We start from the raw sequence: 13,952 nt of genomic DNA on the forward strand, positions 1-13,952 counted from the left end.
ACTAAAATAAAATGCTGGGGAGAATTAGTTGCAGCATTATTCAGTATCTTCTCCCAAAAAACTCCACTTGAAAAATTTTGTTAATAATACAGTGTTAGTAAAAACTTTTGTTTTCTGCCAAGGAATTGATGTGCCTCCTTTTTAAAAATGAGAACTAAATATGAATTTCATTTATTTTTGTCCTGCACATTGGCGGCTTGTTGTCCAACACAGCCTTGTGCTTATTTTTGGGGGGTGAAATTTAGGTCCTGATTTTCCATTTCTTTTATATTTTATTTATTATGTTTACTGTATGAATCTTATTTAACCTTCTGAAATCTTTTGTGGCAAGATGTGGCATAAAAATAAATACATGTAAAATAAAAAATAAAAATTCCCAACCTTTCCACTTATAAAGCCTTAACAGATAAACAAAAATCTTCAAGGAGTATATCATTTTTTAACTTTTAGAGACTGGGTAATAGTCCTAAACATAAACTCATTTTCCAGAACAACCACAAGTAAAATGGCATTGTTAGGGTCTGTTGGCCACTGATGATGCTGGGAGAGGAACCTAAGTTATGGTTGCAGCTGCTCAGTCTCCTGCACCCTTGTATCGTTAGCACCATGATTGAACAAATTTTCCTATAATAATTGAGCAAATTTGCCTATAATAATAATTTTACTTGATTTAGGAAGGCAAAGAAGGCCATTTTTCTAAAGGCCATGAGACAAGAGGCATGAGAAGGAGAGTTCAAGGCAAAAGGCCACAAGGAGTGCTAAGTGTTGCAATGTGAGTAATATGTTCTCCAGGATGCAGCTGGCTCTCTAAGACATGAAGTGATAATTGTGTTTATGTGTCAATAACTTTGTTCAAATGTCAACTTTAAACTTAGATCTAATTCACTCACCACCAATCATAAAGAATTGACAGAAGTTATATCTAAAAGATCACTAAATAATTAAAACATCAGTTGGATACATTAATATGAAAAGAAAAAAAAAACAAAGAATTGAAACAACTCTCCTGCTTTTCAGATAACAGGATCAAAATATTATATACAGACATATAATATAAAATATGCAAACATATGTAAAATATTACACATATCTTACATATATTTGAAACCTTACATTTTCCTAAATCTGTTAACATGCAAATTAAAATGTGATTTGGAAAGAAATATTATGTTTATGAATTATGGGTAAGATTCTAACTTTCTTCACTTGGAATTGTCTCTTGTTTCTTGGACTTTCCCTATAATTTGAGTTGTCAGAACATTAAATCATAGCACAATACTGCTTTATTTTCAGATTTATTATTGTACTCCATCCTTTCCTTCCAAAGTGGGTTAGTGGCAGAATATTTAAGAAGAATCTTTCTGCACATATCATACTAACTCCACTATCTGTGCTCATTAGCAGCTATATGGATGCCCAAGGGGTTCATTTGGACCACCTGCCAAGCTAATCCAGCCCCAGCAATTAATCAAGGATAGAATAAGTACAAAAGTGGATATATTCTTTCCTAAACGGATGCACTGTCAACGAGCTTACCAGATCCTTAATCTCAAGGGAAGTCAACTGCAGTTAAAGTAAACCTAGGATTTATTCCTAAAAGCAGTTCAGGTTTTAGTCAAACGTTAACTCCAGCCACATTATTTTTAACTAAACTTGCAAAAACAAAATAAAAACTTACCAATGAAATTTTGCACCAGTCAATGTAAAATTGAGTACGAAATTTTTTATCACATGTTATTACAGGCTCCATTTCTTGACTACATCTCAATTGATTCTGTGGATTTTCAACTTCTCGTAAACAAGAAGAAAACGGGACATCTGCACCAACCATGACATAAACGCTGTAAAAATGTGAAACTCTCAGGTTATCCTTTAAGAAAATTGAAAACACTAAAAAACAATCCACCTTAAAAGCAGGATTTAGCCTTTTGAATTGAGAGATTAACTAGACTCATCCCTGAGGTAGGGGCCTCGGCTCTAAAAACAATGATTCATGTAGGGGCTTCCTTTCATTCATTCCTTTATTCAACCAATATTTACTGAGTGCTTTGGTATACCAGATACTCTCTCCATTCTATGTTAATTTCTAAAAACTTTATTTCATCCCATTTATTTTCATTCAATATAAACATGCATCATATTCTGATTACTATATTTAGTAATTACTATATTTAGTAGATATTTACATTAAAACATTATCCTTAAGGTAAATTAGGAAATAACCCCACTACTACAATAATAAATAACTAAGTAATACATTTCACTTAATTTTCTTGTAATAAAACTTTTAAATTACATCCCTGGAGGTATGGAGCTTTGGGTAGACATTACTATTTTACCTATCAGTTCTGTTAGTTTTTCTACTACACAAACCCCTATATGCTTGGTCTCTCATTAGAAGGCCTTGCAATCTTTTATCTAAGACATTAATATAAGGGTAAAACTATTGTTTGGTAAACACAAAGAGGCAAACAAAATATTTTGTTGGTTTGGGGGAATTATGGGGAAAGATCTCTACTTAACTGGCTAAAAAGATTTCACAACAGGAAATAGTGACAACAGTATTTAAATAATCTTGGAGCAGCTTGAGAAGATAGGAATCTCATTGGCCTTTCAAAAGAAAAGAGAAAACCAGGAAAATACTACAAGTAAATACTGTTCCTTTTCATAATGACAATGCTAGGAAAAAAATGACAATGTAAAATGAAGTAAAACCATCAAAATTCTAGCTGCCTTCTTTGCAGAAGTTGACTAACTGATCCTAAAATTCCTAAGGAAGTTCATAGCACCCAGAATAGCCATACACACACACACACACACACAAATTTGGATAAGGAAAAACAAATTTGGAAAACTCACAATTCCCAATTTGAAAACTTACTCAGAGCTACAGTAAGCAAGTCATCTGGTACGGGCATAGGAACAGACAGACAGATCAATGGAATAGAACTGAGAATCCAGAAATAAACTCTCACATTTAATAAACTGATTATCATCACAGGTACCAAGACAATTCAAAAAGGAAAGAATAGTTGTTATAACTAATGGTGCTGGAAAAACTGGATATCCACATATCCTGTCCTACCTAAGAAGGCAAATGAGAAGCATATGTGAAATTTATGGTCTTGAGGCATAGGCTCACTAAAAGATTGAAAACTAATCATAGAATTATTTTTTATAACTAATGGTGCTGGAATATATATATATATATATATATATATATATATATATATATATATATATATATAATAGTTGTTATAACTAATGGTGCTGGAAAAACTGGATATCCACATATCCCGTCCTACCTAAGAAGGCAAATGAGAAGCATATGTGAAATTCATGGTCCTGAGGCATAGGTTCACTAAAAGATTGAAAACTAATCATAGAATTACAGAATTCTTCCCCTCCCACAACACCTGACCACCATATTACTAAAGATCTACTTATATTCATTCTTTTTACTCCATACATTAGTCCAGCTAGCAAGAAAAAAATTATAAAACATACTATACAGCAAAAAGCACAGTTTGAAAAGACTGAACAAGCATCACACCGGAATCAGATATGGCAGAGATGTTGAAATTATCAGACCAGAAATTTAAAACAACTATGACTAATATGCAGAGGGCTCTAATGAATAAAGTGAAACTACTTTGCAAGAAATGTTAAAATAACTTCTTTTGAGAGATGGAAAATGATATAAGTCAGAAACTCAGATCTACATAAAGAAAAGTAGAGCATCAGAGAAGGAATAAGTGAAGATAAAACCTTTTATTTTTCTTAATTGATCTAACAGATAACTTGTTTAAAATAATAGCAACAATCTATTCACCATATATCCATAAATGTATATATCTACATATATGTTTATATACACTTATAGATAAGCAAAATAAATGACAGCAATGATACAAGAGAGATGAGGGAAAGACAGGGATTATTTTATCATAAGATACCTGCAATACCTAGGAAGTAGTGTAGTGTTATTTGAAAGTGAATTTGGATTGGTTATATATGTATATTACAAACTCTAAGACAATCAGTAAAAGACAGTTTAAAAAATACAACTGATGTGTTAAAAGAGGAGAGAAAACAATCATAAAAAATGCTCAATGAAAACTATAAAAAGTGGGAAAAGAGTGGAAGACAAAAATAGAAACAAAAAACAAAGGCAACAAACAGAAAACAGTAACAAATATAGTAGATTTATATTTTATTTTATTTTATTTTTATTTTATTTTTGAGACACAGTCTCGCCCTGTCACCCAGGCTGGAGTGCAGATCTCAGCTCACTGCAACCTCTGCCTCCTGGGTTCAAGCAATTCTCCTGCCTCAGCCTCCCAAGTAGCTGAGACTACAGGTGCCCGCCACCACACCCAGCTAATTTTTGTATTTTCGGTAGAGATGGGTTTTCACCATGTTGGCTAGGCTGGTCTCGAACTCCTGACCTCAGGTGATCTGCCTGCCTCTGCCTCCCAAAGTGCTGGGATTACAGGCGTGAGCTACCATGGCTGGCCTCAATAATCACTTTAAACATCAATGGTCTAAATACCCCATTGAAAAGACAGAGACTGTCAGAGTGGATTGAAAAACAAGATCCAACTATACTCTTTATAAAAAATATCTACTTTAAATAGGAAGACACATATACATTAAAAGTAAATGGGTGGAGAAAGATATACTATGCTAACAATAACTAAAAAGCAGGAGGAGCTATATTAATTTCAGACAGAGCCAACCTCACAGCAAGGAAACTTATCAGAGACAAAGAAAGGCATTACATAATGATAAAGAGGTCAATTCTTTAAGAACATAAATCACTCCTTAATGTGTATATGCCTCATAACAGTGCATCAAATTACATGAGGCAAGAGCTGATAGAAGTGCAAAGAGAAATAGATGAATCCACTATTATAGCTGGACATTTCAACATCTCTCTATCAGAAATGGACACAACCAGCAGGCAGAAAATTGGTAAAGACATAGTGAAACTCAGTATCATCATCAGTCGACAGGTTTTAATAGACACTTAGAGACTACTTCATCCAAAAATAGAATACACATTCTTCTTAAGTACACATGAAACATTTAGCAACATTCCAGACCATAAAAAATTAACAAATTTAAAGGAATGGAAATCATACACTGTCTGTTCTCAGACCCCGGTAGAATTAAACTGGAACTCAGTATCAAAAGATAACTGAAAAATCCCAAACTACTAGGAAACTAAGCAACAGACTTCAAAAATTGCACATGGATTAAAGGAGAAATCTTGGATGAAACTTGAAAATATTCTGAATTAAATAAAAATGAAACCATAACTTATCAAAATGTTTACAATTTGGCAAAAGCAATACTTAGAAGGAAATTCATAGCATTGAATGCATACATTAGAAAAGAAGAGAGATCTAAAATCAATAATTGAAACCTCCCCCTCAGGAAACTAGAAAAAGAAGAACAAATGAAATCCAAAGTAAGCAGAAGAAAAAAAAAATCAGATAATCTGCACAGGCCTATATGTAGTAAGGAAATTGAATCAATAATTAATAATCTTCTAAAGCAGAAAGCATCAGGTCCAGATGGGTTCACTGTTGAATTCTACTAGACATTTAAGGGAGAAATTATGCCAACTCTCTACAATATTTCTCAGAAGACAAAAGCCAAAAGAATACTTCCTATCTCATTCTATGAAACCCAAATTACCTTAATACCAAAACCAGAAAACAACATTACATGAAAAGAAACTACACACCACACCAGCATCTCTCATAAACACAGGTGCAAAAATCCTCAACAAAATATTAGCAAATCAGATTCAACAATGTATAAAAGGAATTATACACAATGATCAACTGGGACTTTCCCCAGTTATGCAAGGCTAGTTCAACATCCAAAAATCAGTTAATATCACATCAACAGGCTAAAGAAGAAAAATCACATGACAGCATCATCAGATGCAGGAAATGCATTTGACAAAATCCAATGGCAATTTGTGAAAAAAAAAATTCTTAGTAAACTAGGAATAGAGGGGAATTTCCTCAATTTGATACCTACAGCTAACATTACTCTAAATGAGAAACTTGAAGTTTTCCTACTAGTATCAGGAAAAAGTTAAGAATGTTGCCTCTCATCACTGTTTTTTAACATCATACTGGAAGTCCTAACTAATGTAATAAAAGACAAAAAGAAAATAAAAAGTATACAGATTTGAAAGGATTAAATACTGTCTTTCTTTGCAGATGATATGATTCAAAAGAATTGATTAAAAACTCCTAAAACTAGTGAGTGATTACAGCAACGTTGCAGGAATCAGTAATAACCTTCCAAAACAGAAAGCATCAAAATACATGAGGCAAGAGCTGATAGAGCTGATACTAAGATTAATATAATAAAGTCCATCACTTTCCTATATACCAGCATGAACAGGTAGAACTTGAAATTAAAAACAGAGGCCGGGTGTGATGGCTCACACCTGTAATCCCAGCAGTTTTGCAGGCCGAGGCAGGTGGGTCACCTGAGGTCAGAAGTTTGAGACCAGCCTGGCCAACATGACAAAACCATCTCTACTAAAAATACAAAAATTAGCTGGGCATGGTGGCACACGCCTGTAGTCCCAGCTTCTCAGGAGGCTGAGCCAGGGGTTGAACCCAGGAGGCAGAGGTTGCAGTGAGCCGAGATTGTGCCACTGCACTCCAGCCTGGGCGACAGAGTACCCTCCAAAATAAAATACTTAAATATAAATATAAGTCTAATAAAATAGGTACAAGATCTGTATGAGGAAGACTACAAAACTGATGAAAGAAATCAAAGAAGACCTAAATAAATGGAGAGATATTCCATGTTTAATGGATAGGAAGACTAAATATTGTCCATATGCCAGTTCTTCCCAAATTAATTATAGATTCAATGTAATCTCAATCATATTCTCAGCAAGTTAATTTGCAGATATTAACAAACTTATTCTAAAGTTTATATGGAGAAACAGAAGACCCAGAATAGCCAAAACAATATTGAAGGAGAAGAACAAATTTTGAGGACTGACACTACCCAACATCAAGATTTACTATAAAGCTACAGCAATCAAGACAGTGTAGTATTGGGAAATAATTGACAAAATAGATCAATGAAACAGAATACACATTTAGAAATAGACCCACATAAATCTATTCAACTAATCTGTGGCAAAGGAGCAAAGGCAATACAATGGAGGAAAGACAGTCTTTTGAACAAATGGTGTTGAAAAAACTAGACTTATACATGTAAAAAATGAATCTAGATACATATGCCCTTCACAAAAATTAACTCAAAATGCATCACAGGTCTACATGCAAAATGCAAAACTATGAAACTTCTAGAAGATAATAGAGGAGAAAATCGAGATGACCTTGGATTTGATGATGATTTTTTAGTTACAACACCAAAGGCACAATCCATGAAAGAAAGAATTGACAAGATGGACTTAATTAAAATTAAAAATTTCTCTTCTGCAAAAGACACTGCCAGTAGTACAAAAAGCCACAGACTACAAGGAAATATTTGCAAAATGCATATCTGATAAAGGACTGTTATCCAAAATATACAAAAAACACTTAAAACATAAAACAACAAACAATCCAATTAAAAATGGGCCAGAGGCCAGATGCAGTGGCTCAAGCCTGTAATCTCAGCACTTTTGGAGGCCAAGGTGGGCAGATCACTTGAGGCCAGGAGTTTGAGACCAGCCTCGCCAAAATGGCGAAACCCCATCTCTACTGAAAATACAAAAATTATCTGTGTAAGATGGCATGCTTCTATAGTCCCAGCTACTTGACTTGGGAGGCTGAGGCATGAGAATCACTTGAACCCAGGAGGCAGAGGCTGCAGTGAGCCAAGATTGCACCACTGCACTCCAGCCTGGGTGACACAGTAAGACTCTGTCTAAAAAACAACAACAACAAAAAGCCAGAGACCTTAACAGACACCTCACCATAGAAGTTATACTCGTGGTAAATATGCACATGAAAAGATGCTCCACTTTACATATCATCATGGAAAGACAAATGAAAACAGTGAGATACGCAACACACAGATTGGCCAAAATCCAGAACAGTGGCAATATCAAATGCTGGCAAGGATGTGAAGCAACAGCAACTTTTATTCATTGCTGGTGGGAATGCAAGATGGTGTAGCCAATTTGGAAGACAGCTTGGCAGTTTCTTACAAAATAACATACTTTTACCATATGATCCAGCTATCACTCTCCCTATATTTACCCAAAGGAGTTAAAACTTATTTCCACACAAAAGCCTGCACATGGATATCTATAGCAGCTTTGTTCATGACTGCCAAAATATGGGGGCAACCAAGATGTCCTCCAGTAGGTGAATGATAATTAAACCGTGGTACATCCAGAAAATGGAATATTATTCAGTGCTAAAATGGAATAAGCTATCGAGCCATGAAACGATATGGAAGAAACTTCAAAGCATATTACTAAGTGAAATAAGCAAATATGGAAAGGCTACAGACTACATGATTCCAATTATATGACATTCTGGAAGAAAAACCACTATGGAGACAGTAAAAACATCAATGATTGCCAGAAGTTGGGGGGAAGGAGGGATGAACAGGTGGGACATAGATGACTTTTAAAGCAGTGAAACTACTCTGTATGATACTATAATGATGGAAACATGTCATTATACATTTGTCCAAACCCACAGAATATAAACCGCCAAGAGTAACACCTAATGTAAGGTAGGGACTTTGGGTGATAGTGAGTTGTCAGTGTAGGTTCATCATTTGTAACAAATATACCACTCTGGTGGGGGATGTTGATAATGGGGGAGGCGATGCAAAAGCAATCTCTGCACCTTATGCTTAATTTTTCTATAAACCTAAAAATTCTCTTAAAAATAGTATACGCACAAAAAAATCAAAGACTTTAAGAGCTAAAACTATTAAACTCTGAGAAGAAAACAGGTGTAAATATGACCTTGGATTAGGCAATGATTCTTAAAATATGACACTAAAAGCTCCAGCAGTAACAGAAAAAAAATAAATTGAACTCTATCAAAATAAAAAAGTTCTGTGCTTCAAAGAACACCATTAAGAAAAGTGAAGACAATCCATGGAATAGGAGAAAATAACTGCAAATCATATATTTAATAAAGGACTTGTATATAGAACATATAAAAACTCTTACAACTTAATCAAAAAATGAATAATTCAATTAAAAATGGCAAAGGATATGAATAGACCTATTTCCAAATATGATATACAGATATCTAATATGCATATGAAGAGATGCTCAACATCACCGGCCATCAGCAAAATAGAAATCAAAACCACAATGAGATACCACTTCACTTTCACTAGGATGGCTATAATCAAAAAGGCAGATAATAGCTAGTGCTGGTGAAGATATGGAAAAGTTGGAACTCTCCTATTTTGCTGGTGGAAATGTAAAATGCATCTGCTTTGGAAAACAGTCTGGCAATTCCTCAAAATGTTAAATACAGAGTTACCATATGACCCAGCAACTCGATTCCTAGGGATATACTTCAGAAAAATGAAAATATATGTCTACACAAAGACTTGTACATGAATGTTCACAATGACATCATTCATGGTCAACAAGTGAAAACAACCCAAATGCTCATCAACTTATAAATGGATAAACAAAAGATGGCATATCCATAAAATAGAATATTATTCCATGATTAAAAATGAAATACTGATTTATTCTACAACATAGATGAAACTTGAAAATGTTATACAAAGTGAAAGAAGCCAGTCACAGAAGACCACATATTATATAATTCCATTTATACAAAATGTCCAGAATAGGCACATTTATAGAGACAGCAAGTTCCTTAGTGGCTGCCTAGGGGTAGGGGTGGGGGTGGGGGTGACTTCTAATGGGTACAAGGGTGGGTGTGTGGTGTTGGGATAATAACAACTTTCTAAAATTGGTTATAATAATGATTGCATGACTGTGAATTTACTAAAAGTCACGATTTAAAATTGTACATTTTAGATAGGTGCATTGTATGATATGTGAATTATATCTCAATAAAGCTGTTATTTTTTTAAAATGAAATGAAATAAAAGTACAGCACAAAAGTTCAAAGCTATGTAAATGTAAATATGAAGTCATGACCAAGCCAGAGATGACAACTGTGTTCGAGAATATGTTCACACAAATTCATTTGCTCTACACATCAAATTTATATTAGGATTTAAGACTCATTTGAAAGATTATCTTTTAAAAAACCTATTGTACCTTTGGGAAACAAATAGTAAATAATGGGCAAAATTAAAGATCAAATTAAAAATTCAGAACAAAAGTAGAGATGAGAAACCATTGGTATTTAGATGATCAGAGGATATAAACATATTCGATTTAAAACAAGTTATTACTTTTAAGCCTTGCATACATTCAGTTTCTATCCTTTTAGTAACTACCAAGGCAACACCATATTTTTCCTTGGTAATTGTGAAATATATTTGTAAGGACCGAGATTAAATGAATGTTTCTTACAACTGTTAATGGCCCTCTTGCTTAGACAAGACATTGATTTGTATTTGCAATTAGTAAGATTTTTAATTAATTCCTCTCAAGGTAACATAAATGGGCATAAGAGATTTTCATGCTTTGAAATGTTTTTTTTCTTAAATTATAAAACCAGTATAAAAACATTACAGAAAACCTGAGGTATAAAAACAAAACTCATTTATATTGCCAAAAGAACTATTTTCATTTTCCAATGTACCTTGCAGAATATTTTTCAAATGCATATATTTTAATCTAATTGCAATAATCTCTAAAATATAATTTTGTATCCTGCTTTTTCACTTATTGCATCATAAGCATATTCCACATTGTAATCTTTGTAATTATAGTTTTATGGCAGTATAATTTCTTTTTAAGTACACATGATTTATTCCGCAATTATTTCAGAGTTGGACAACTAAGTTGCTTCCAATTTTTTGAAGTTATAAATAATATTACAAAGACTATCTCTGCATATTCTTTAATGTGACTATCCTAAAAGAGAGGTCTAGAAGTGGAAACATTTTTATGACAGTTGACACATACTGCCAAACTACTTTCATCTCTACTTGGATGATCCATAAGCTTTTCAACTTAATATGTTCCAAACTGAGCTCATCATTACCCCACCCCACCTCCACCTGTTCCTCCTTCTATCTTCTTCTCTCTTGGTGATTGACATCCCCAAATGCTCAAGTCATGAACTCAAGCACCATCTCTTTGACTCCTCTCCTTCTCTCCACATATTCAATCCATCATCAGTCTCTGACATTTACCCTGAAATAACTCTCATACACACCTGTCCACTTTGTTTTGTCCCACTGCTACAACTGTAGTTCTAGTCACCATCACCTTCCACAGGGAGTGAAGGAACAGCCCCTTAATGGTGCTCCTTGAACCCAGTCTTTGCCACTGTCCTCAGGTAGCCTACTGGCTAAATGAATGCATGAATGAAAAGCATTATACCAGTTTAAAAACAAACGGAACACAGATGTCATGCTCAGAAGCAGGAGATATTGGATTTGTCTCATTAAGTTTTTTTAAAAAGTATATTTATGGCTTCTTTTGTAGAATCACTAAGTTTGAACACACTGGCTTTTAAAAATATGTAATTTTGTCTGAGTCCATGTGTAATAATAATAACTATGCTACACATGCTAAAATTATGTTTTTCATAATGTTGTTTTCCTTTCAGCTAGTTGTTGTCAAAATTTAAAATTTGTATGAAGTGAAAATGAGAATGATCTTTACCTTTATGACCCTAGCACATGTTTTCAAATTTCAAATGTGTATAAACAGATGAGACAGGAGGCTATTATCAAGTATAAGGCTCTCAATGAATGCTAACAAAACCTGGTACTTCAAAAGACTAGAGACTGGAGTGCACTAGATAGAGTTGTTTCTTGTGAAGAATTTTTTTTATCCCAACAATTCAATTTCTCTTCTTTGAGGTAAAATGCATTTATTGAGGCCTTTACATTTATAATGTGAAGAAACAAGTAATGGTAAACAATTTAAGTAGAAACTCCACTGTTTCCAGCAATAGCCAAATATATGGATCCAATGATTGTATTTTTTCCTAATTGCCCAATTAATGAATATACTTTGTTATTTTATGTATATAGAAGATAAAAGACAGTTTAGAGAAGAATATGTCCATATATGTTACATGTTGCCTGGGAAATGTTGAGCACTCAAAAGCAGCAGCACAAAACTTCCTGCCTTTTCCTCCACCCAACTTCTTTCTAATGTACATACCTGCAATTAATCAATCAAAAAGTAAGATACAAAATAAAGAATGAAAGATGTATGGGATTATAGCAAAACACATATAATAAAATAAACAAGTGAAAAAGTCACCAGAAATTAGGAAAACATTGAAAACTTGACAGGACTAATAATTCTCTTGCAAGCCAGAGCACTGCATTTGGCACTTAATTTTCTTGTACCCAAATTGAAATCAAAAAAAAAAAAAAAAAAAAAAACACAGTAAATGTCATAGTTCTCATCATTAGAGAGGGGAAAGCATGACTATTCCTTAGAGACCTAAATGTTTTATTGGCACTAAATTCTAAAAGAATTTTTTCATGTGTTCATGTTCCTCTTGTTCATGTATCCTCTGGCAGGGGAAAATGGATGCTATTGGGTCCCCTAAAATCCCAGCACCTATATCCACACAGCATTTCCTCCATTCAGTCTTCCCTATTCTACAAGTGTGATCTCTCTAAAACAAAAATTTTAGTATCAACCATTTCCTGCACAGGTCCCTAATGCTTCAGGATGAAATCCAAATAACTTTTCCCAGAAGACAACGTCTTACATGGTCTGGTCTTTGCCCCTTCTGGATCTCTTTCTCCATTTCCACACTAAGTAGAGTTCTGAATCCACTATGCTCTCTCCTACCTTCGGTACTCGCCCAAGCCCTTTCCCCTGCATAGCGTTCCCATTTCTCATTTTCTCAGCAGGCTAATTTGTACTTATATTTTCAACTCAGTCAGCCTTCAGCTCCTCTATAAACCTTTTTCAGGTGTAGAAATGTAGTGAGAGAGGAGCCCTCTCTGTGATGCCTCAATTGTGGTACTTAAAACACTGATTTTAATTATCTGATTATTTGCCTGCTCCCTAGTAGACTGCAAGCCTAGATTGTGTTTTTAAAATCACTGTACTCCAAAGACTAATAAAATATTCTCCCATTAAAAAAATACTGAATAAACATTAAACTATGAAAGAAAAAATGATAGAACTCAGAAGAGTAGATATTAAACATATAGTTGCATTGACTTCATTTGTTTTTTTGTTATAAAAATTGATACAGGTTTCCAATTTTATTAAAGGCATTTGCAAATATTTCTATATCACCACTATTCCATAAAATAAAGGATATTTGTACCAAAATTATAGGAGGGACATCATTTAAGAATAAAGGGCAATTCAGCCAGGCACAGTAGCTCACGCCTGTAAGCCCAGCACTCTGGGAGGCCAAGGCGGGTGGATCATGTGGTCAGGAGTTCCAGACCAGCCTGGCCAACATGGTGAAACCCCATCTCTACTGAAAATACAAAAATTAGCCAGGCACAGTGGCAGGTGCCTGTAATCTCAGCTAATCAGGAGGTTGAGGCAGGAGAATCGCTTGAACCCAGGAGGCAGAGGTTGCTGTGAGTCGAGATCCCACCACTGCACTCTAGCCTGGGTGACAGAGCAAGACTCTGTCTCAAAATAAATAGATAGATAGATAGATAGATAGATAGATAGATAGATAGATAGATAGATAGATAGATAAAGGGCAATTCTGTAAGTTACCATAGATAGAGACAATTTCAGAACTCTACTGAAATTGGCCCAGGATCATGACTTTCCATCAGACCAATATTGGGCAGCCATTGACTTCCATTCTTTTCCTCAAGTATAACTTCTCACT

General features: G+C 34.3%; 2 protein-coding genes across 16 annotated transcripts in view; one reads left to right on the forward strand and one right to left on the reverse strand.

Annotated features, from left to right (window-relative positions):
* CASD1 (CAS1 domain sialic acid O acetyltransferase 1) overlaps window positions 1-13,952 on the forward strand; it is a 124,364-nt gene that overhangs the window by 91,803 nt on the left and 18,609 nt on the right. The gene's annotated exons all lie outside the window — the stretch shown is intronic.
* SGCE (sarcoglycan epsilon) overlaps window positions 1-13,952 on the reverse strand; it is a 71,154-nt gene that overhangs the window by 16,632 nt on the left and 40,570 nt on the right. For all 12 annotated transcript variants that reach the window (NM_001362809.2, NM_001301139.2, NM_001346717.2 and 9 more), the window contains one exon: window positions 1,679-1,841. In NM_001362809.2, coding sequence (NP_001349738.1) covers window positions 1,679-1,841 — 163 coding nt within the window. The remainder of the gene's footprint in view (window positions 1-1,678; window positions 1,842-13,952) is intronic.

The sequence above is a fragment of the Homo sapiens genome, chromosome 7, assembly GCF_000001405.40.
Source record: "Homo sapiens chromosome 7, GRCh38.p14 Primary Assembly".
Classification (NCBI taxonomy): domain Eukaryota; kingdom Metazoa; phylum Chordata; class Mammalia; order Primates; family Hominidae; genus Homo; species Homo sapiens.